The sequence below is a fragment of the Homo sapiens genome, chromosome 1 (assembly GCF_000001405.40).
Source record: "Homo sapiens chromosome 1, GRCh38.p14 Primary Assembly".
In the NCBI taxonomy this organism is placed as follows: domain Eukaryota; kingdom Metazoa; phylum Chordata; class Mammalia; order Primates; family Hominidae; genus Homo; species Homo sapiens.
In genome coordinates, this window is record NC_000001.11 from 229,320,924 (window position 1) to 229,345,118 (window position 24,195).

At 43.7% G+C, this 24,195-nt stretch overlaps 1 protein-coding gene across 2 annotated transcripts, besides 4 other annotated features; it reads right to left on the bottom strand.

Moving 5' to 3' along the window:
* Positions 1-91: 91 nt before the first annotated feature.
* Positions 92-22,124, bottom strand: CCSAP (centriole, cilia and spindle associated protein). Of its 2 annotated transcripts, NM_145257.5 has the most exons (4): positions 21,989-22,124; positions 21,176-21,590; positions 5,815-6,083; positions 92-4,488 (listed from the first exon to the last, which is right to left on the bottom strand). In NM_145257.5, the coding sequence occupies exons 2-4, from the start codon at positions 21,540-21,542 to the stop codon at positions 4,312-4,314; spliced, it is 813 nt and encodes a 270-aa protein (NP_660300.3). In that variant the 5' UTR covers positions 21,543-21,590; positions 21,989-22,124; the 3' UTR covers positions 92-4,311. The 2 variants fall into 2 exon arrangements, with proteins under 2 accessions (NP_660300.3, NP_001397865.1); NM_001410936.1 differs by lacking the exons at positions 21,176-21,590; positions 21,989-22,124 and adding an exon at positions 19,478-19,859.
* Positions 14,319-14,828: an enhancer, noted in NCBI's record as "H3K4me1 hESC enhancer chr1:229470989-229471498 (GRCh37/hg19 assembly coordinates)". NCBI's record gives its function as "activates a minimal SCP1, AML or CMV promoter by ChIP-STARR-seq in naive H9 embryonic stem cells {active_cell/tissue: H9 hESC(naive)}" and the evidence as "EXISTENCE:reporter gene assay evidence [ECO:0000049][PMID:30033119]".
* Positions 21,173-21,372: a silencer, noted in NCBI's record as "silent region_1927". NCBI's record gives its function as "represses an Ori minimal core promoter by ATAC-STARR-seq in GM12878 lymphoblastoid cells {active_cell/tissue: GM12878}" and the evidence as "EXISTENCE:reporter gene assay evidence [ECO:0000049][PMID:35858748]".
* Positions 21,573-22,432: a silencer, noted in NCBI's record as "silent region_1928". NCBI's record gives its function as "represses an Ori minimal core promoter by ATAC-STARR-seq in GM12878 lymphoblastoid cells {active_cell/tissue: GM12878}" and the evidence as "EXISTENCE:reporter gene assay evidence [ECO:0000049][PMID:35858748]".
* Positions 23,279-23,573: a silencer, noted in NCBI's record as "tiled region #13048; HepG2 Repressive non-DNase unmatched - State 3:PromF". NCBI's record gives its function as "represses a minimal TATA promoter and a strong SV40 promoter by Sharpr-MPRA in HepG2 cells {active_cell/tissue: HepG2}" and the evidence as "EXISTENCE:reporter gene assay evidence [ECO:0000049][PMID:27701403]".

The following is a 24,195-nucleotide window of genomic DNA, read 5'->3' on the forward strand; positions in this document are numbered from 1 at the left end:
AAATCCATTTAGGAGTCAATATGATCATACATTTTCTTCAAGTCATTTATGTACTAAGCAGAATTACTTCTCACAAAAGAGTCTCAGCTTGTAATGTTAATTAACTTTATTCACATTTTTCCAAGTAAATACAATATTAACTATAAGCTAAAAACAATACATAGTTCTTAGAAAATACAACCCCGAATTATTGTGTGGCCTGGGCTTTGTGATTATGTGCCCAGCCTTTGTTCCTCCAGAATTTTAAAGTGAATGCAGTGCTCAAAACAAACTTACGATAGCACAGGGAAACCTTCCCTAAATAAAGTTTTGTTATTAGAAGAGAAATCCAAAAAGAGGCCTCTACTGCCTTCATTCAAGTGTCGAGAATTTCAAAATGGAAATAATATTAAAAGAGCAATCGATTTTTTTCCATCTCACACTAGTAGGCTTGAAGGAGGCAAATTTGGACCAAAAATCTAGACATAGCTCCTTGCATAGGGTTTGATATTAAGCACACACTTGCACTGAATAACTCCATATCCACCCTATAGTACAAAAATTCATTTCAAATGCAAACGTTGTGCAATGACCAGGTCATATTTTTAAGATCACTCTTTAAAATATCATTTTACTGATCACAAAATTATATAATAAGGATCTTATATGGGTTAGGTATTAAGTTTGATACCAAAGCAACTATAGCATCAAGCTACATAAATATTAGCACCATTTTTTATCTAGTCCAGTGAAATGTAAAACTATCCATCAAACTGTTTTTTACCAAAGCAGTCAACAAGAAAAATTGTTTTACTTCTGATATATGCTTTGCTCCTCCTCCTCTTTGCTAGTAATACTTTTGAACACTTTAAAGAAAGTACAGTCGGCCCTCTGTATCCGTGAGTTCTGCATCCATGGATTCAACCAAATACAAATTGAAAATATTTGGGGGCAAAAAGGATGGTTTCACTTGTGCTGAACATGTACAGGCTTTTTTTTCCTTGTCATTATTCCCTAAACAATATAGTATAACAACTATTTACAGAGCATTTACATTGTATTAGGTATTTTAAGTAATCTAGAGATGATTTAAAGCATACAGGAGGATGTGTCTAGGATATATGCAAATACTACACCATTTTATAGAAGGGGTTTGAGTATCCATGGAGTTTGGCATCCTAAGGGAGGCCTGGAACCAATGCCCCATGGATACTGAGAGGCGACTGTACCATAACATTCCATTTACAAAGTGTGTGCCCAGAACAGCATTATCAACCTGAAAAAGGATAGTGGAAGACCCTACAGATTTTTTTTAACTTACGAATTGTGCAGAATTATCTTCTGGAAGTTATGGCTTCCAATAACAGCCATCTTGCTTGCTCTCGTTCTTACAATTTAGTCAGCTGAGTTCAAGTGACCCAAGTATAAATACCCTTCAAGTTGCTAGCAATTGATCTTCGATGAAACACAATGACAAAGATATTACATATGAAATGGTATAAATATGTGCCTCCTACCTAATACGCAAGTAAGATCACCTATAGCCTATTATACATTTATTCATTTTTAAAATGAATCTTTTGAAGATCCATTTATTCACATTTTTCCAAGTAAATAGAATATTAACTATAACTACTAACTATAATCTTTTAAAGATTCATTTTAAAAGTGAATAAATGTGCTTAGAAATTTTAGGGGGGAGAACACACATAACATACATATAACCAGAGGTGCCAAGTATTTTAACATCTCCTAACTAAGGGCAGTTAAAAGACAAAGAATCGATTCCTGTTCACTTCTCCTCCCGCGGACTTAATGTCCAGCAGAGTGCTAGACAATATTGCTTCAATATTCTATTACTTTAATATTAAAAGCAGTAACAAAATCAAAAAGCATATTTATGACATTGTTTTAATTAAGTTAAAATCAAAATTTTAAAAAGAGTTTTATGTAGCATTTATTTTAAATATCATTGGGTTCTCTGTTTCAGACTTTTTCAACATGAAAGGTAATTTTTAAACTGTCTCACTGTCTTGCAGGTTGTCCCAAGAATTAGGAACATGATTACAACCACATTCATTTCTAGAATGAAAAGAAAGAATTAGGACCATCAGACTGTTAACAACTATCAAATTTTCACAGGTTCAAAAGGTAATTGACACTCTTTAAAAAAGAAAGAAAAGAAACCCTAACCAACTAAGGACTTGGATGTAAGATGAAGGCTTACAATTCATACTGATTTATTAACCATTCATGCACTTTAAAAGCACTTTAAAAATCCCGTTCATTTGTCTTCCACTTAAAAAGAGGAAAAAATTGGCCAATATTTGCCTTCTACATTATATCTCTGTCTGGAGTTTTAAGTAGTAAGTACATTAAATATAAGTTTGTTTTCTAAACAAGAGAAAAGTCTGGCGGTTCAAAGTCTAGAGGAAGTCGGGTTTCTAAGGCAGTCCGTCAGTGTGGGGCCTGCACCACTCTCTAAGGCCGTCTTTCCTAGATTGTCAGCTGCAACACAAGCCTGAGCTGGATGACTAACACCGAACATGCAAGAAGCGACTTTAAAGGAACAGTTTTCACAATCAGCTAGCTACACCATCACAAATTGCCACATTAAGGTGATCTTTAGGTACCTGTGTCGTTTAAAGACTTTAATAATAGTTAATACCAAAATTCACCAGTTACTAGCAAGGCTGTTTTGGACAACATGTAAAATTTCCTCTTTTGAAATATACATCTCAATGATTAGGAGAGATCTGTAAGGAAACAAATTCACCTCAAAACTATGCAAATATTTAAAAAGTTTTTTTAAGCTCACAATACTTCAGTATGTGTTTTCAAAGCTTAAACAGTTATCATGTGTGAAGAGTTTATGGGGAATGAAAGCAATATGTTCTAAAAATTGACTATGGTTTTCCAAAGACCCAGAGAAAAATACTAAGGTAATACTCAGCCTCACGTCCACTCACACATCTTCGGGTGCCAAGCTGGCATAGGCAGAGCACCATTATCTCTTATAAGGAACTTAGCACATATCCTTCTAGCAGATTCTTGTCTCCACAGGATGGAGAAGACATCATTCATTTGATGGAAACCAGTGTTTGTTAAAACCATTTTTCTACCCCCAAAGCAAACATACTAAAGAGAAGGAGCACTATTTACATAAATTTGTGCCTACCCACACACCACCATTCTCTCCCATTAAAGTGTAGATAAGATCTACTGGCTAGGAATCAAAGAGTAACGTATTTCAACCTAAAGTTTGAATACTGTACATCATCAAGACTTTGTTATTGTTAAGTGCTATAAAGAAAAAGAGAAAGTAGGGGTGGGCAGTCTATCTAACAGGCATCTTCACACTGGTCCCCATCCCAGTGGAACAAGCAATGCCAATGTACCAAGTGCAATTCCAGATTGTAAGTTTGAAATGTCATTGCCAGCCATTACAGAAGAGGCAAAAGTCCACAGTGGGTGTATGCCAAAAGGTCAAGTGTGACAAGGGACTGAATCCACAGTATGTATTCTTTAAAAAAAAAAAAAAAGGCAATAAAAAAAGTGAGTCTTTGACTACTCAAAAGAAACTTTACTACTACTGTACACACATATTGTGTTGTGTGCACTTCGTCTATTGGAATGTACTTGAGCTATTAAACTATTAAATAATAACTGCCTAGATGATCACTGAAAGAGAAAAAGAGACCCTCGCCCAGCCCAGATAATTCTTAAATATCACAATCTACATAAAGATGCTGCTGAACTGAAATACAAATAAGTTAAAAATTTTCAGGAACTAGCAAAGTTCTACTTTCATTATACATGGAATCAGTAGTAGTGCTGACACTCATTTTTGACTTGATATTCTTTCACAAACAAAACGGCATATAAGGAAAACGAGTCTTATGCTGTAGGATGGAATGATCTTATAGCTATGGAATCTGGAAAGTTATTTAGAACAAGATGATAATAGGCTCTACCTAAGCTTATGAAAAGAATACTGAACTGTAAGCATCTGTTGCCATTTAAAGGCATTTGGTGTCAGTATCTTAAAAGATTAAGATGCTTTAAAACAAAAACCTTATAAGAATATCAAAGATTTAGGGAATTATCTTCATAAATAACCAAATGTCTATGGCTTCAACTGTCTGCCCTACTGCCGAGGTAGGTGACCAATATTCATCAAAATAAAACAATCTTTTACAAATTCCCTAAAAAAAACCTTGCATAATCAGTTGGTTTCTTAAACCTGTGTCCGTTTCTTTTGATGGTTTTTGTTTTGTTTTTCCTTTCAGTCATTTACACTTTTTAAAAGAGGCTGTCCACGCAAGTGTTTCTTTAAGCTCTTGCCGAATAGCACCTCATGTATTCTGTCATCCACGGGTTCTCTGAGGAGGAAGCCTTCATCTTTCTGTTCTTCTCCACATCCACAGAGTGAGCTCGCTGCCTTTGAGCAACCAGTTTCCTTTTTTCCACCTGTCTTCTGTTCTTGGCTCGTAATGCTGATTCATGAATCTAAAGAGAGTTCAAAATAAAGGATAGTAACTTAAGGGGCTATTATACTAATGTTCAACAGAGGTTGCAATGAAGCTGGCTACTGCCAGGTCAACTGCAGCAGGGCAGAGTCAAGCCCTGCCTCTCTATATAGTTCTTCTTTACATAAAACCTTCCACAGAAGAGCCATTCTCACTTGATGCTGTTCTCACTTGATTCATATCAGGGATAATGAAACTAAGCAACAGCAAATTAAATGTTAGACAGAAATGGTAAGCAACTAATTTGCATGTGCCTCTAGAGTTGGCTCTGGAAAACTGTCCGAACTGCTTAGCATTAAACATAAGTATTTAATTAACGACTTATAAACAGCTCATAAAAAGCAGGGAAAATAAAAGAACTTTAAATGTTTAACATCAGTATACCAAAGACATCTCGAGATTTTACCACCTAAGATGTCTTATACTACAGATAAATCCTGTTAAAATTAATCCCACGGACTTCTTAGAGATCTTTTGTTAAACGGCAGCTTTGTTGTCTCAAATATCACTCCAAATAACACCATTTGCTAGGGTTCAGATGTCTGTTCAGTGAAATTTTCATTATGCTGTTTATCTAGAACTCAAGCAGTTTGCAGTTTCACTTTCTGCTTCCTTAAACGCAGCCTTTGCTTTAGGCTATCATAACAGTATTAACGCTAACATACATGTTTTCTGACTACACACATGAAGGTCCTCTCATCTGAAATGTTTCCGGGTCTTGACACAGGAGAGACAAGCTAAGGCTAAGTCAGGGGAGGACTAAAGCTCCTGAGAGTAAAATGCATTTGTTATGGATGAACAGGGGAAATGCAGCCATTTGAATTTAATCAGAGGAACAAAAGGGAGTCTCTGGCAGATGCCAAGCAATCAATCAATCAGACAAACCAAAGATAAAGAAGCGCCAGGTTATCGAAGCTGAAGGAAGCTGAAACAGCTCAAGAGACCAGTGGCAAATCCAGATGGGCCGTCGCCAGCCTTGGCTGTGCTGCTCCTCCTAACCTTCCGGCCCCCCAGGAACTTGTGAACCCCAACTCCATCTACATCTTTGCCTGGCTTGGTGTCACTAAACTCTTCTGGGTAACTCCAAGCCAAAACCCCTCGCTCTGCAGGCCACCAACATGCAGAATCCTCCTTTGGTTCATCAGAGGCTCCATTCTGGAGTTCCCCAACCCACCATGCTATCCCCTAAGATCTCCCATGGGCCCAAAGCACCCAGTGGCCAAAGGACACGATGCCCGATGACAGGCGCATGGCCCAGCTGGCCACTCTCAAAGGGAACACAGAACCACAAGGGCCCAGAGCGCACCTCGTGCACAGGAGCGGACGCACAGACGTTGTGAGTCTTCTGGCTTCCTGTATCGGTCTGTTTTTCTCCCCAGCCATAAAGAGCAAATGGATGCTTGTTTTCTTTTATTTTACTCGATGATCTTTGGGGACTTTTGACCGCTTTCCTGTTTCCTCTAGCAAATAAGGCACTTGGTTGCTGTCGAGGCTCAGTACTGGTGGGTGATTTGTCAGTCTCTCTTGTTCTGGTTTGTTGTTCAGGTTTATCTTCTACATCTTTCACTGGCAGTGCTTTTGAAAAGAGATAAATGAGATGAAAATACTTTGAAATCAGATTTATATATAATTAAAATATTTATGTTGAAAAATCATAATGCTTAAGACAGTAACATTTTCACTTATGGCTCAACTCATACGATCCACTTAAAGTAGAAATACAGGAACAAGTTAGCATAATTTTCAAACCATTTATCTCATTTTAAAATCAACAACAAATATACCAAGATTGAACCAAGCTTATTCAAAAGCAACCACTGCTACTCCGATTCTGAGACTTAGCATCTGGAATGTTAAAAGATAGACAGCACCACACCCTAAGGGCTTTCTCCGCAATCCCCCAAGATAAATCCAATCATCTCAATTTTGCTTTCCTTCACGGAAAGATCTGGATTTGTGGTCATCCTCCAGCAGCTGCAGGAGGTTGCTGTTTGAGTTACTCCACCCGAAAATGCTCCTTAGTCCTTCCGTGCTCCTCCTGAGAGCCGCTTCCTTCATTCAAAAGCCCCTCCGCACAACAGGGAGTGATTTCCATCGTTACCGCCTAGGTGCGCAGCCAGGCATTCCCTGTGGGAAGAGTTAAAAATGAGGGCCCCGGCCGGGTGCGGTGGCTCACACCTGTAATCCCAGCACTTTGGGAGGCCGAGGCGAGCGGATCACGAGGTCAGGAGATCGAGACCATCCTGGCCAACATGGTGAAACCCCGTCTCTACTAAAATACAAAAAAAAAAATTAGGCATGGTGGTGCATGCCTGTAGTCCCAGCTACTCGGGAGACTGAGGCAGGGGAATCGCTTGAACCTGGGAGGTGGAGGTTGCAGTGAGCCCAGATTGCGCCACTGCACTCCAGCCTGGTGACAGAGAAAGACTCCGTCTCAAAAAAAAAAAAAAAAAAAAGAGGGCCCCAGTTTTAAGGGGCTTCCCCAACACTTGCAACGGAAATTACCCCATGAAATCAGGCCTGGGTCTGTACCACAGCCCTAAATTCTGGGGAACCCCCGGTGGTGAATGTGGCTGCCCCACCTAAGGGGAACCTCAGATAGCAAGGATGTACTCCAAAAAATATCTATTCCACTGAATTACCTTTTATGATTTTCCTGTTTATTATTTTGTAAGCCTTTCTTTTTATGAAATCAGTACGATTCAGTATAAACACTTTGTGAGCCTGTGTTTGCTTCCACCTATGGTTCTGCTGAAGTAAGAGTTCGTGACGGGTCTGGGGCTCCACCTGAGGTGCCCCAGTTGTTTAGGCCACAGGAGACCCTTTGTTTCAGATGCTCCAGAGTTTTGCTCTCAGTCATGATTTTATTTTTTTTGTTTCATTTTTTAGAGACAGGGTCTCACTTGTTGCCCAGGCTGGAGTGCAGTGGTGCGATCATGGCTTATTGCAGCCTCAACCTCCTGGGCTCAAGTGATCCTCCCACCTCAGCCTCCTAGGGAGGTGGGACTACAGGAGTGCATCACCATGCCCAGGCAATTTACAAAAAAATTTTTTTTGTAGAGATGGGTTCTTGCTATGTTGATCAGGCTGGTCTTAAACTCCTGGCCTCAAACAATCCTCCTGCCTCGGCCTCCCAAAGTGCTGGGATTACAGGCCTGAGCCACTGCACCCAGCCATCAGTGATGATTTTATAGATTGCTATTACAATCTATATAAGGTCTTATCACCTCTGTAGGACAGAATTTTGCCATTACTTTCAGTTGTGACTCTTGTCTATTTCTACTTCCCTTTAAAGTTGAGGGAACCGCTGCATGGGCAGTGCATGCAAACTGGCACATACTTGTAAGAAACCTTTATAGGTCATCTGCCACGTCTGCCTTCAGTGATGACCTTGACTCTAGCAAACCATTACATTTATTACTAAGCATTTGAAGGAACAGACGCTTCATGTCTGAATCCGGGTGTCATGTTCTGCATTGGAGTGCATCATCTCTTTAAACCCAGCACTGGAGTTGCTGGGGATGAGGCAGGACACCAGCCTTCCATTTCATGAGACGATATCCATTCACTGCTCAAACGTTTATCTGAGTGATGTGTCCACACGCTTTCTCCTCCTCTTCCCTGGTGTTTAAGAAGAGGAGGAAAGAAGAGATCATCAGGACCAAGACTAAAGGGAAAGAGAAGTGGGGAAGTGCAAGAACCTGTGCAGTGGCACAGTGATACTGAGAGAGAGAAAAAAGCAGCCACCCAAGTCATCTTCACTGATTCACTTCCCCTCTCTTCCTCCTGTTCCAGGCATGTCTAGCCCAGATCTCCCAGAGAAGCCTGCCCATAGAAGGCAATAAGGATTTCATTGATAGGACAATCTGGGGCTAGCCAGGCAGAGAACAGGAAAGAGAATTCCAGAAAGAGGGAATGGCTTCTTCAATGGCATGGAGAGAAGAAGAAAGAGGGAATTATAAATAGTTCAAAATAGCAAGAACATAGAGTCTATGGATGAAGGCCTGGGGTAGATAGTGTGGGGGAAATAAAGGCTTTATTTTATATATGCCAAACTCAGGCATTTTTATTTTATCTTGGAGATGAAGAATCATCATGGGAGGACATTAAGCTGAAAACTAACATGGTCCTATTTGTATTTTAGGAATGAGGCCCCTAGCTCCACACGTGGAAGATGGGTGAGATCAGAAATAGGGGCAGAGAGGCCAGTTAGAAAAACACACCGATCAGACCAGCTGGGAGGTGGTGCCAGGATGTTTTTTTAACAAGGCCCCTCCAGCCAGGTACGGTGGCTCAACCCTGTAATCCCAGCACTTTGGGAGGCCAACGAGGGTGGATCACCTGAGGTCTGGAGTTTGAGACCAGCCTGACCAATATGGTAAAGCCCTGTCTCTACTAAAAGTACAAAAATTAGCCAGACATGGTGGTACACGCCTGTGATCTCACCTATTTGGTAGGCTGAGGCAGGAGAATCGCTTGAACCCAGGAGGCGGTGGTTGCAGTGAGCCGAGATTGCACCATTGCACTCCACCCTGGGCAACAAGAGCAAAACTCCATCTCAAAAAAATAATAATAAATAAATAAAAACAAGGACCCTCCAAAGCAGACAGCCCAGCAACACTGCATCAGACTGACAGGTGGACAGACAACAAGGACCCTCCAGAGCAGACAGCCCAGCAACACTGCATCAGACTGACAGGTGGACAGACAGACAGACACCATGAGGACACCAGGAAGGACCATGTGGGCGCTCGGTTCTGTGGCTCCTGCAGGTGTTCTGAGTGGATGGTCATGCTGTCCTCTGACATAGGCCCCCTAAAGGATGAGGAAAGGGTGCTTGTCACGTTGGATGCAAGACACTCCTGGTCCCGGCAGCCAGACCTTCAACTGGAGCTCAGGAGAGAAGATGGCATGGAGATGAAAGCCACGGCTCCTGGTGTGGACCAAGTCACCCAGAAGAAACACAGAGCCGGAAGACAGGAGGTGCAAACAGGCCCGGGGACACCGTCATTTAATGCACAGGCAAAGAAAGGAGAACCCGAGATGGGAGCAGAGGAAGGGTAGCAAAAGAGTAAAAAAGAATAACCAGGAAAGAGGCTGAGCAAAGAGTTTCAGAAAAAGAAAGTGCAGGCCGGGCGCGGTGGCTCACGCCTATAATCCCAGCACTTTGGGAGGCCGAGGCGGGCGGATCACGAGGTCAGGAGATCTAGACCATCCTGGCTAACACGGTGAAACCTCGTCTCTAGTAAAAATACAAAAACTAATTAGCCGGGCGTGGTGGCAGGCGCCTGTAGTCCCAGCTACTTGGGAGGCTGAGGCAGGAGAATAGTGTGAACCCGGGAGGCGGAGCTTGCAGTGAGCCGAGATCGTGCCACTGCACTCCAGCCTGGGCAACTCCATCTAAAAAAAAAAAAAAAAAAGAAAATGCAATTAACAGTCCAAAAATTACAGAGAGATTGGTACAATAAAGATGAAGAGACTTTGCCTTGGCAGCTCGGTGGTCACTGGTGCCAGAGGGGAGGTGTGGGGTGGGGGAACCAGACCCCAGCTGGCTGAGGACTGAACAGAGTGGAGCCTACCCATCCTGGTTCTTGGGGGCTACTGGACTCACCCTCCCCACTAAGGATGACCTGGAAAAGCTAAATGAAATTCAAAAGTGACCCCAGGCTAACAAATGTCTATCAGGTACCCAACACAAAAACTAAAATCTTCTCAGGAAACCCTTAGACCTCAAATTATTCCTAGAAATAGCTTTTCCAACACAAAGACCAGTGTGTTGTAAAGATAACCGGCACACAGGAGGGTAGGCAACAAGGGGGACCGGGAGAAGCAAAAGGCCTGAAATCCAAGGAGTCTTATTCAGACTACAAAATAGCTGTGCTTATAGAAAAAGACAGAAGAATTATCTGCAACAGGAGGAGAGAAAAGATGGAAAATACAGAAAAGGTAAAACTCATCACCGTAACATTAATATTTATAAAACTCTTTTGTAAAACTCTTGAAATAGTGGCTGGCACAAGAGAAGTGTATATAAGTGTGGTATTATATACATGTGTGTGTCTCTGTGTGTGTTCGTTTTTGTCCATAGTTCGTGGCTCCTAACTCCCATAGCCCCTGTTCCAGTCTTTTGTTATAATGTTGGGTGTGTTAAACCTCAGGGGCAGGCCCCCAGAAACCGAATCTCTCCTGCTCTCCTTTCCCCTGCCACTAGGCAGGACTCTAATCTTCCACACCTTCCAATTGTAGCTAAGCTCAGGAGGTTCCTGGAGGCCGGCGAGACAGCATGGAAGCTTCTCACCCCTTTCCCCATATCTCACCCTGTTCATCTCTTCATCTGTGTCCTTTCTAATATCCTTTTATTATTATTATTATTATTATTATTATTATTATTATTATTATTTTGAGACAGAATGTTGCTCTGTTGCCCAGGCTGGAGTGCAATGGCGCGATCTCAGCTCACTGCAACCTCTGCCTCCCGAATAGCTGGGATTACAGGTGTGTGCTGGGCTCAAGCAATTCTCTCACCTCAGCCTCCCAAATAGCTGGGATTACAGGCGTGGGCCACAACACCCGGCTAATTTTTGTATTTTTAGTAGAGACGGGGTTTCATCATGTTGACCAGACTGGTCTTGAACTCCTGACTTCAGGTGATCCACCCGCCTCGGCCTCCCAAAGTGCTGGGATTACAGGCGTGAGCCACTGCGCCCGGCCTCTAGTATCCTTTATAATAAACTGGCAAACATTAAGTGTTTCCCTGAGTTCTATGAGCCACTCCAGCAAATTAATCAAACCTAAACGGGGATAATGGGAACCCCAGTTTGAAGTTGGTCAGCCAGAAGTTCCCAAGGCCTCGACTTTCGACTGGTGGGAAGGAGGGGGCAGTCTGTGAGACTGAGCCCTCAACCTGTGGGACCTGATGCTATCTCCAGGCAGACAGTGTCGGAACTGATTGCTTGTTTGCTGGTGGGAAAATAGCCCCACATATTTTGGGGCTATTTCAGAAGTCTGTGTTGATTGTTGTTGTGTGACAACAGAGGAAAGAGTTTGAGAGTTTTTTCCAAACAATAAGTGTATGTTTCTAAAATCCTGTTTGAAAAAATAGTTTAAAATAAAGACTTCTTCAAGCAAAAACAGCATTATCCACCAGTTATGGTGGAAGATTACAATGCCCCTTTCTTAGTAATTGGCAGAACATTCAAATAAAAATAAATTCAGTCTCAATTTAGAACTGGCCAGTCCAATACAATAGCCATGAACCACACGTGGTTACTAAATATAAATTTTAATTAATTAATTAAAAGTAAATAAAATTAAAGATTCAGTTCCTCAAGTTACACTAGTTATCGTTCAAGTGCTCAATACCCACATGTGGCTAGTGGCTACCCTGGCAGACAGCGCAAATGGAGAACACGCCCATCATCACAGAGAGAGCTGTACTGAACATCTGATTTTTCAAATGTATTTAAACAGAATTAATAAACTTGACCTAATGGATATATATAGAACACTGAACCCAACAACTGCAGAATGTAAATTTTTATCAATCATATATGGAACATTTATAAGAATCTGCATATCCAAGGCCATAAAGAAATCTTAAGATATTTACAAAATTGAAATTATATAGAATGTGTTCTCTAACCACAATGTAATTAAACTAGATACAACAAAAAAACTTCAAAAAATCCCTCCCAGTTTTGAAACTTAAAAACATTTCTAGGCCGGGCGCGGTGGCTCACGCCTATAATCCCAGCACTTTGGGAGGCCAAGGCGGGCAGATCACGAGGTCAGGAGATAGAGACCATCCTGGGTAACACGGTGAAACCCCGTCTCTACTAAAAATACAAAAAAATTAGCCGGGCGTGGTGTCAGGTGCCTGTAGTCCCAGCTACTCCGGAGGCAGAGGCAGGAGAATGGCGTGAACCCGGGAGGCGGAGCTTGCAGTGAGCCGAGATCGCGCCACTGCACTCCAGCCTGGGCGACAGAGCGAGACTCCATCGAAAAAAAAAAAAAAAAAAAAAATTTCTAAATAACCTATAGGTCAAAGTGAAAACAGGGTTGCACAAAAATGTGAAGGTACTTAATGCCACTGACCTGTACACTTCATTTATTTATTTATTTAGAAATGCTCCCAGCCAAACTGGACACTTTAAATCAGTTAAAGAAGGCCAGGCGCAGTGGCTCAAGCCTGTAATCCCAGCACTTTGGGAAGCTGAGGCGGGTGCATAGCCTGAACTCAGGAGTTCAAGACCAACCTGGGCAACATGAGGAAACCTCGTCTCTACTAAAAATACAAAAAATTAGCCAGGCATGGTTGTGTATGCCTGTGGGCCCAGCTACTCAGGAGGCTGGGGTGGGAGGATCACTTGAACCTGGGAGGCAGAGGTTGCAATGAGCCAAGATGGTGCCACTGCACTCCAGCCTGAGTGACAGAGTGAGATTCCATCTCAAAAAATAATAATAATAATTAACAAATAAATAATAAAATGGTTAAAATTGTAACGTGTATTTTATGTATTTCAGCACCATTTTCCAAAATTCCAAGTAGTGGTAATAGAGGGCATTCCTTTCTTAATTCTGATATTATTAGGAATGTTTCCAGTTTCCTCATTGAGCATAACGTTTGCATTAGGTTTTTTTGTTTGTTTGTTTGTTTTGAGAAACAGTCTCACTCTGTCACCCAGGCTGGAGTGCAATGGCACGATCTCAGCTCACTGTGACCTCCACCTCCTGGGTTCAGGTGGTTCTTGTGCCTCAGCCACCCAAATAGCTGGGATTACAGGCGCACGCCACCACACCCACCTAATTTTTGTATTTTTAGTAGAGATGGGGTTTTGCCATGTTGACCAGGCTGGAATATATGTTTTCTTTAAAAAATAAATATTTCCTTACGTGGATACTATACATAAATGTTAAATTTTATGATTTTTGTGACTATTTTAAAAAATCATAATGAAAATTTGAAAATGAGTTTGAATAAAAATGTTACATGGCAAAACATGCGTGATGCAGCTAAAGCAGTTATCAGAGGGAAATTTATAGCCTGAAATGAACATATCAAAAAAGAAAGGCAGGGGGCAAAAAAATCAATGATAAGCATCCATCTCAAAAAGTTAGAAAAAAGCAAAATAAACCCAAAGAAAATTAAAGTAAGGAAAAAATAATAAATTAATGAAAATATACAATAAAGAGAAACCACAAATCTTTAATGTGGGGAAAAACTAAACAAATTCACAAACCTCTGGCAAGTCTGATCAAGAAACAGAGAAGAAAGTAAAAATAAAAATCAGTTAAAAAAATATAGCAAATTGGAGGGTTCAGGTTAAATATGCACTAAAAACCTGTGCCTTATAGTTCCTTAAAGCTTATAGTCTCTTCCTCTCCAAATCCTACTAAAGGAAGGAAAAAAAGGTATAAAGCCACAAGGACAGAGAGCAAGGGAGGTGATGACATCAGGCAAAAGGCATCAATAAAATTTGGAGGAAAAGAAAAGCAACTGAAGAGGTAAAAATGGCCTCACAGAACTGAGTAGGATGAATCCTAACTGCCAGAGGGGAAAGGCCTCCAGGACAGAAGCTGAGCCCTAGAAAGAATCACATGAGCCAGATGTGGTGGCTCACGTCTATCATCCCAGCACTTTGGGAGGACAAGGCGGGAGGATTGCTTGAGCTCAGGAGTTTAAGACCAGCTAGGCAACATAGCAAGACCTCATCTCTAATAAAAATTAAAAATAAAAAAATAGCCAGGTATAATGACGCACACCTGTGGTCCCAGCTACTCACGAGGCTGAGGCTGGAGGATTGCTTGAACCCAGGAGGTCAATGCTACAGAGAGCTTAGATCATGCCATTGCACTCTAGCCTAGGCAACAGACTGAGACCCTGTCTCAAAAGAAAGAAAAAAAAAATGAAAGAGTTGTATGAGGTGCCAGCTTCGTCAGAAGGCTAGTGAAGTGGATTCTCTTTTCCAAAAGTTCAGCATCAATCAGCACCCCAGCCCTCGTGCTCTTCTGACTATAATATGGACGTGCTCTGTTGAGAGTTGGGATCCACGGGTCCTCCCCTTGAACCTGGGCAGACTTTTATATTAGGTTGGTGTCAAAATAATTGCACCAAGTAATAACTTCCCCAGTGAAGGTAAAATGGGGTGAGAAAGGGCCTGCAGAGCTCCTGAGGATAAAAGAGAAAAAGCAACGCAGCATCAACCTGGGTCTGTCTCCGGACGCTGTCCTTACAGGTCAGCTAGTGTGTTCTGAGGAAGGCCAGGCACAGGAAGAGGTCATGCATGTGAGGGTCCCAGCAACAGCCCAGCCGGGTCCCTCCAGCCTGGAGCCTTCCAGTACAGGCTGCAGACAAGGTATCTCACTGCCCAGGGCCAACTTCCAGCCCAGGAAACCAGAGCAGCAGCAAAGGAGGACAGCAGGCTGGGGGCCTCCGTATCCAGGGGTTCTGCATCTGCAGGCTCACTCAACCATGAATTGAAAATATTCGGGAAAAATAAATAAAAAATAATACAACAATAAAAAGTAATACAAATTAAAAATATAGTAGAAAAACTATTTACATAGTATTTAATTGTATTAGGTATTATAAGTAATCTAGAGATGATTTAAAGTATCCGAGGGATGTGCACAGGTTATATGCAAATACTACACCATTTTATATAGGGACTTGAATATCCACGGATTTTGGTATCCATGGGGGTATCTCGGATGCAATCTCTCCCAGATACCAAGGGACAACTGTTTTTACTAGTTTTAAGCTACTAATTTTCAAGGTAATTTTGTTACACAGCAATTGACACTTCTATATTCTTTCCCCTAGCTCATATGCCAGGTGGTCACTCCTCTCCTACCCAGAAGGTCTGTGGATTTCAGTCTTGAGCGGCAGAAGCAGGGGAGGCTTGGACTTCAGATGACCCTAGGGACAGGAGAAACCAAGGGAAACAGCTTCCTGAAAACAGAATTAGGTGAAAGGCCTCATGGTAAAGGAGACCCCTCCTCGGCACCTTCCTCCACCTCTGTTCCCAGGATGCTGGTGCCAGGCTTATTCCCCATGAGACAGGAGACTGCAGATGCACTGTCTGGGCAGCTCACTCAAGAGACGCTGGCAGGTATACATGTTTGCAGTCCCCAGAGGAACAGCTGGGTCCTCAGCCAATTACAGAAAACAGGCATCCCCCGTGCACAGACCTCCTAAAAAGCTCTTCCAGGCCTTACTCTTAAATATGAGCAGACAGGCTAAGAGCAAACATCTGAGTACATCCTCTATTAGTAAGGAAGAGACCAAAATTATGCAGAAAAAGGCAAGGCAGGGAATGGAAGACAGCTCTGAAAAGATATTTCTGGCCTTTTTCTTTTCTTTTCTTTTTTTCTTTGTAGGTTAAAAGAAATCTGAAAACAGAATGCTATTTTTTTTAATGTAAAGAACATTATGGACCAAAAATAGATGATCTCTTGGGAATTTAAAGCTAAGGTGAGAATTAAAAATTTCAATAGAAATGTTGGGAAATAACATTGAAGGGTTCTCCCAGAAAATAGAACCAAAAAGTCCAAATTCCATTGTAGAAACATTTTTAAGTAAAAATGTTAGGGGACTGATCCAGGAGGCACACCATCCAACTAAGGATAATTATAGAAAGAGAAAATAAAGCATATGGAGCAGAGAAAATTATTTTTAAACAGAAAAATAGGAAATATCACTGAACTGAAAGAACCTTCCAGAATGAAAAAGGCCAGCCAAATGAATGAAAAAAGACACACACAGGCACACCACAAAATTTCAGAACACCTCCTAAAAAGATATAAAGAATCTCCTAAAAGTTTCCAACAAAACAACAAAAACAAACATAGGGGGGTCACACACACAAAGCAGGTGTCAGAATGGCATGGTCCTTCTCAACACTATGACCTGAAGCTAGGATTCAGTGTTATCATAATGCCTCAAATGCTGAGGTTTCCAATCTAGACTAATCTACCTTGCCAAAATATCAATCCTGGATATAATAAAGGCATTTTCAGATATGCAAGGTTACAAAATTTCTAATTCCCACGCAATATTTTACAGGATCTATAGAGGATGTGTTCCATCAAAAGGAAGGAACAGGCCAAGCAAAAGGAAGACTTGAGATGTGCAAGGCAGGGGATCACACAAAGGAGGGAAATAATAAAGAAAGCCCAGTTCAGCAGCTGTGCCAAGGCTGGACAGCATAAAATCTAGACTGGAACAAGATCAAAGGCTCAAAAAAAAATATATATATATATATATATACACATACATATATATATATGTATATATATATGTGTGTGTGCGTGTCTCCAAGGGAAAAAAAAAATCAGATGAATAGAATACCTAATATGTCTGACAAATGGCAAGTTTCATAGTACTATCAGGCCATTTCAGGCATTAGTGATAGCTAAAATAAATAAGAAATAAGAAACTGTGATAGGCAGTGATAGGTAGCTTATTTTTTAATAAACCTATTACTGGAGTAGAAGCAAAAAACAAAAACAAAATAAGCAAACAAAAAAGTGGAACAATTATCAATTTCAGGAAAACCATAAATTTTAACAAAAAAATGTAATCAGAATATATTACATGGCTCACCTGCAAATATCTACACAGCCATAATTCAAACACAGAACAGAGATTAAACAAAGCAATCATATAGTTAATATTGTGGGGATATGGAGAAGAGGAAATGGGTGTTGGTATGTGTCTGGGGGTAGAATAGGGAAGGCAGAGCTAAGATCCTGAGCTAAATCTTCATCTCCCATAATGGGAAGTCAGTAGATAATGTTCACAATCAAAAAGCCAACAGATAAGATTAAATAAAAAGAGGGTGGCCAATGCTGAAAGGAAAGCGAAACTGAGTGAAAGGAGCAAGGGGCATGGGTGGGAAATGGGGCAGGATCATGTTTTTTTCATTTTAAGCAAAATGTTTTAAATTACTGCACATGTAAACTTTGCTAAAAATAAAATCTAACCTAAAAAGAAAACGTGACTATGAAGTAAGGAATCGGAGACAGTCTAGACCACTCTTCATAGCATATTGGCTATGGGAGGAAAAGAATCTCACGGTTCACAAGCACTTCCACCCCCAAACCCCAACACACACACACACACACACACACACACACACACACAGAATTTCCTAACAGCTTTTTAGTATCCATCCCTTAAATAAGAATGAGAAACGAAGGATCATTAGACATTTGAGAAAAGTGCCTAACATGAAAATAGAGAATTACCAGCAAAAAGAAACAAAGAGGCAGAAGTGAAAGATTGTGCTGAAGAAACACAGAAAGAGAAGAAAACAAACGAAAAATTCTAATATATATCCTCAGTAAGATAAAACCCTACATGCATCAATCAGGAACCAGATACTGTGTTGTAAAAAGAAATAAAAAGGGACGGAAAGGAGGGAGGTAAGGGAGGGAATAAATGGCAGCCCAGAAAACAATTCAAGAGCTCTTACATTTAAAAGAAAAATAGGATCCCTCAAATGGAAAATGTAATAAGAGATTTAGAAGATACAGCTGAGAGTATCACCCAGAAAACAAAACAATAAAAGATGAAAATCTGTCAAGAAAAAACTTAGAAAATTAGAGGATAAAATGATAAAGTCTAATATCCAACTAAGGACTTCAGAAAAAAAAGAAATGGGAAAAAAAAAAAAAACAGAAATAAGAAAATAATTCCAGAAAACTTCCGGGAATTAAAAACATGAGTTTGTCTATAAAGACCTGCCAAGTGCCCAGCAAAGCAAAGGAAAACAGATCTAGATCAAGGAAAAATGTCAGAACATAAAGGCCAAAGAGAAGACCGTGAAAGCTTCCTGAGGGCAACACATTACCTACAAAAGATCAAGATCAAGAATCATAACGAGGCAGGCTGTAACATCAGCAGTCATAACACATAAGGAGGAATGCCCCCAGAGTTTCTACGGACAACTGTTCCAACCTAGAATTCCATGCCCAGCCACACTCACCAAATTGTAAGGGTAGAATAAAGCTATCTCTTGGCATTCAAAGAAAGCTAACCTCTGAACCATCCTTTCTTGGGAATCTACTAGAAGATGTGCTCCACCAAGAAGGGGTAAACCAAGAAAGAAAATGACATGAAAGGCACACGACAGAGACTCAAACCCAAGAGAGAAGCCAAGAAAGGTCCTAGGAGGATGGCCAAGGGCCCTCCCAAGATGCCAGCCAGGCAGCAGCCCACAGGAGCAGCAGCCAGCCCAGACAGAAGTAGGTCAGGGGCCCTGGGAGAGGCATCTTAAGATGACAAGAGTGATAGTGAACCTGATGTGTTGGTTGTATTGTGAAAGAAAAAAGGGAATCATGGGAAATAGTATGGGTCAGCTTTGAGTAACTTTTTCCATGGGCACAATACGGTACATACTAATTATGAATCCAACAAACTCTATGAGGACTGTATTGTGCAGGTGTGGAGATGGGCCGTGTGTGTGTGGGTGAGGAGAGCAGTAAAAAAGAATTAAAGTCAATAGATAATGTTAAAAACTGAAAAAAAACAATCACATGTCAATAAAAGCCATGTTACTTGGAGATACAGAAATAAATACCAAAGGAAAAACCAGGGTGTTATGTATGGCATAGGGCTGATGTGCTTTTGTAATAAGTCAGACAGAACTACGTGATTCTATGTGCATCTATGGCTTCAGGGAAAGTAAAAAATTTTATATTTTATAGAAACTCAAAAGAGTGCTCATTGCACTAGTATTTAAAACCATCCACTTAAAAACCAGGATATTTAATCTTGTGCAAGCAACACAGGAGTCAAGAGGGCCTTACGGGTAGGAGCAAAACAAAAGATGCTGCGATTGAGTCCTGAAAGCAGAAAACATCCTTTCTTCTTCCTGATGCCTAAACCAGAAACGTTAGCAGGGAAGAAATAACTGAGAGGACGCTATATTTAAGGAAACCAAAATAATCATGAACTCAGAGCTTACCTGAGCTGGTAAATACAGGCACCATCCATATCACAACGCTGCCTAAAAATTGTATTTATATTGCATGCAAATATTTGACAACTCCATCACAAACAATAAAAGATCGGGGAGAGAAAAGCCATTTAGCCTGATAAAGTACATCTCAATTTAGCTAGCAGATCAGTACCCACAGGAATAATCTGGAAGGCATGTTCCCTACCCCCTCCACCTTCTGTTATTTGCATTTCTAGCAGTGATCACTGAAGCATCAGGATTTGTGGGGATTCACAAGTAACATCATGATGGGAGGAGGCAGCCCTGCCTCCGATGATGAGCTGAAAATAGCTGAAGATGGTAAAACCAAGAGCAAAGCAACCCGGCTCATAGCCGAAATTTCATCTCCTCCTCAGCCTCTCACAGAGAAGCCAGGAAGAGTCTGATTGGCTTGCAATCGGGTAAACAAAAATAAACACATAAATGAATAAAGTCACTGATCCTGAGCTTCCGTTTTTTCATCTATAAAACTGAGATTAGGGCCGGGCATGGTGGCTCACTCCTGTAATCCCAACACTTTGGGAGGCCGAGGCGGGCGGATCACGAGGTGAGGAGTTTGAGACCAGCCTGACCAACATGGTGAAACCCCGTCTCCACTAAAAATACAAAAATTAGCCGGGCGTGGTGGCGCGTGCCTGTAATCCCAGCTACTCGGGAGGCTGAGGCAGGAGAATGACGTGAATCCGGGAGGCAGAGGTTGCAGTGAGCCGAGATCGCGCCACTGCGCTCCAGCCTGGGCCACAGAGCGAGACTCCGTCTCAAAAAAAAAAAAAAAAAAAGATTACAACATGGTCTCTTTTGGGATTGTTTTGAATATTAAATGACAACATACATATTCCCAGATCAGTGACTGAATGTCTAACAGGCTCCCAATACATTTTCCATGTTTTCCTCACTCGAGCCTTTTTAAAATCCAGTGATCTGGAAGGAACCATTGGTTACTCCAGGCTGTACTGAGGCGTTCAACTGGGTCCCCAGCCCTGCAAGCCTCTGGGCAGGAAAGAAGGTGAAGGGGCCATGCCTTGAAAACACGCGCAGCGCCACCGGCGCTTTCGGATCTGGACAGGCGAGGGAGGATGGGGAGGGACGGAAGGGGAGAGGCCCTAGCACTTATAAAGATGCTCTCACAGCCAAGTTATTCAACACTCCACGTAAACAAATGCAAAATATTCTTTAGGGACAGCGTAGCGAGGTCGGGGAGTTAATACGGAAAACAATGGCCCCATTCATCAGACAAAGCTTAGCTCTGTGGTTCTTAACCTTTTGGGTTACCTTTGAGAATCTGATTAAAGCTGGGGCTCCTCTGATCAAAAATGGGCGCCTAGAAATAAGCAGATGGGACTCAGTGGTTCGCCAAGAAATAAGATGGGATTCAGAGGTTTGCCAAGCCGCAGAGGCCCGCGAGGAAAGACCCCAGACTCAGCCAGCGGCGCTTCAATTGAGTTCACCGCTGGCTCGACCGAAAGCCACCTAATTAAGGAAATAAAGGGTGGCAAAGGCTGCCACCTTCCCTATTTTGTCAAGAGAGACGGATTCTGTCAACCGAAAAAAAAAAAAGGAAGAGCCAGCCCCGAGTGGCGCAAGAAATAAGAGATCAGCTGCTCAGAGCTTAGAGCAAACCGTCCCTGCGTGCAGGCCCCTCGCGCTCCCCTCCGGGCCGGGTACCTGGCAGAGCCGCGTCCTCCGCGTCCTCGGCCTCCGCGTCCCCGGCCTCCGCGTCCTGCTCCTCCGGGGCCCCGCGCGCCCGCCGTTCCGCCTCCTCCTGGGTCGCCGGCTCTACGGGCGGCGGGGGCGAGGGCGGGGCGCACCGGGGTGCGGGGCCCCCGGCGCCCGACGACTCTGACGACGCCGAGTCCTCCGAGGAGCCGGCCGGGCCCCAGTCGTCCCAGAGCCAGGGCGCGTGCGCCTGCTCCAGCAGCCGGCGGCCTAGGCGGTAGTGCAGCAGCTCGCGGTAGCACGGCCCGTACTCCTCCCAGCGCGGCTCCTGGTAGCGCTTCATGTACTCGCTCTTCACCCCGCTCCCCGGGGACATGGTGCCGTCCGCCGCCTCGAGCGCCAGCCGCTCCTCGCTGCCCGCAGCCTACGGGACCCGGTACACGACACAGAGGCCGCCCCGCCCCTCCGCCGGCCCTGCCCGCCGCGACGTTTAAACCCGGAGCCCCGCCCGGACGGGAGCAGGGGGCGGGTCCCGGCGAGGGCGGGGAGGGGGCGGGGCGGGGGCGGCCTCACCCGGCGGCCGGGACCAAGAGCAGAGGCGGGGACCGGGGCTGCTGGGGTCGAGGGGCGCGCCGCCGAGGAGGGCTGCTCAGTGGGCGGAAGGCAGGGAGGCTGCGGGCTGGGGCGAGGGGACCGCAGGAGACTGGGGCTGAGCGGGAGGAGGAGCGAGGGAGGGGAGCGGCGGGGCCCGTGATCGGGTGGTCCTGGGGTCTCCGGAGGCGTCCCCTGAGCTAGGCGTGCGGTCCCGCGGGGCTGCCTTACCTCCTTCCCGCCGCGCCCGGCCGATCCTCTGCGCCCAGGCCCGAGGCGCGCGTGGCGCAGCAGCTAAAGCGCAGCTCGCTCTCCCGCGCGCTTTCCTCCTGAGCAAGATGTCGCCGCGGCGGCCCGCGCTCCAGCTGCAGGCGGGAGGCGGTGGCGCCGCCTCAGTCCCGGAGCCTCCACGCGCGCTCCCGGCCCCCGGGCCTCCGCCCGCTCCGTGGGGGCGGCTGCTTCCGTAGAGAGCGCGAGGCGCGGGGGTGCGGGCGTGCCTGCCAGTCCGAGGGGCCCAGGCCCAGGTCCCTGGCCCACTTATTTGAGGTGCCCGTCCACCCTGGTCCCAGCAGACGCTGTCCCAGGCACGCGTCACTCTGCAGGAGTCGTCAGTTAGGGGCAAGAGATGATCCCTCCAGATATGCAGCCCCCCCAGGCTGCGGCCGGGGGCGACACTCTCTGTCCTCACTCGAAACCTACCGGTTCTTCCTCTCTGTGTTCACAACACCTGTTACTCTGGCTTTAACTCCCTTTTATATCTACACTCCCCAAATTCTTTTAGATTTTGATCAAAACCATTTCACTCGCTCAGAGATTCGTTTGCACATAAAAGCTTGACAGATTAACTTACGTTGTGCAGAAGTATACAAAGTTGTCCCATTTGTTACAGTTTCAAAAGTGGCCCCACACTCTTTTCCCTTTTTACACATAAAACCTTCACAGATCCAGTTACTTTGTGCAGAAGTATACAACGTTGCCCCATTTGTTACAGTTTCAAAAGTGGCCCCGCACTGTTTTCCCTTTTTGCTCATAAAACCTCCACAGATCCGGCTGAGCGCTGTGGCTCACGCCTGTAATCCCAGCATTTTGGGAGGCCGAGGCGGGTGGCTCACGAGGTCAGGAGATCGAGACCATCCTGGCTAACACAGTGAAACCCCATCTCTACTAAAAAAATAAAAATAAAAAGAATTAGCCCGGCGTGGTGGTGAACGGCTGTAGTCCCAGCTACTCGGGAGCCTGAGGCAGGAGAATGGCGTGAACCCGGGAGGCGGAGCTTGCAGTGAGCCTAGATTGCGCCACTGCACTCCAGCCTGGGCGACAGAGCAAGACTCCGTCTCAAAAAAAATAAAAAATAAAAAATAAAAACCTTCACAGATCCAGTTACATTGTACAGAAGAATACAACGTTGCCCCATTTGTTACAGTTTCAGAAGTGGTCCTGCACTATTTTCCCTTTCTTAAAAAAAGAGCCTTGATACAGTAGCTGCAAAAAGATTTGAAAGGAAAAAACTTTTGGAAAATCTAAATATATATATAGCAGTTAAAAAGCAAGCCCAGGCCGTGAGTAGCGCTCACGGCTTCCACGTCAGGATTCCCACGAATTCACCTACTTTCTACGTGTCCGCATCCTGCCTCCCACCACCACCGCCCACCTCATCATAGCTAAATGATTCAGAGGCGGCTACTGGCCCAAATGGGGCGGGTCAGACCGTCTGCTCTGAAAACTTGAAGTTACTAGTCCAATCATTAGCACGGGATTGTGTTAATGGCAGTTTTCTGGACGGAAACTCCAGGATACCCTGCTGCTAATGAGTCCGCGGACGCCATGATTTCTCCCCTTCCCAACTTTATTTTCTGTTCCTTGACTTACATTAGGGACATTCTAATGCACTTTCCTTTTGTTTAAGCTGGCTGGGGTTGGTTTCTGATGTTTGCAACCAAAGTAGCCTTAATAAAGATTGAATAAGGTGGGGAAATGGTTATATGTAGTTCTATGGGACATGCAGGACACCATCGGTTTCAGCTTTTGCTGCATAATTCACTCCAAAACTCAGTGGTTTAAAACAGCTAAGATTTATTATTTCTTATGATTCTGAGGGTTAGCTGGGCAGTTCCTCCGCAGTTGGATTCTGATGGAGAGACAGCAGGGCTGGAAGTTTCAAGATGACCTCCTGATATAGTTGGGATAATTCCTCCAAATCTGAAGTTGAAATTGATCCCCAATGTTGGAGGTGGGGCCTAGTGGGAAGTGTGTGGGTCATGGGGGCAGATCCCTCATGCATGGCTTGGTGCCATTCTTCAGTAACGAGTGAGTTCTCACTCTTTTAGTTTGCATGAGAGCTTGTTGTTCAAAAAGAGCCTGGCATGTCCTCCTCTCTCTCTCTCACTCCCTTTCTCTCTCCATGTGACATGACAGCTCCCCTTCCCCTTCCACCATGA

Coding starts and splice junctions, on each gene's coding strand:
- CCSAP (NM_145257.5), bottom strand. CDS start 21,542: ATGTCCCCGGGGAGCGGGGTGAAGAGCGAGTACATGAAGCGCTACCAG. Junction 6,084..21,175: donor GGAGGACGCGGCTCTGCCAG/GTACCCGGCCCG, acceptor TCTTTTCAAAAG/CACTGCCAGTGAAAGATGTA. Junction 4,489..5,814: donor CGTCCGCTCCTGTGCACGAG/GTGCGCTCTGGG, acceptor AACTCTCTTTAG/ATTCATGAATCAGCATTACG.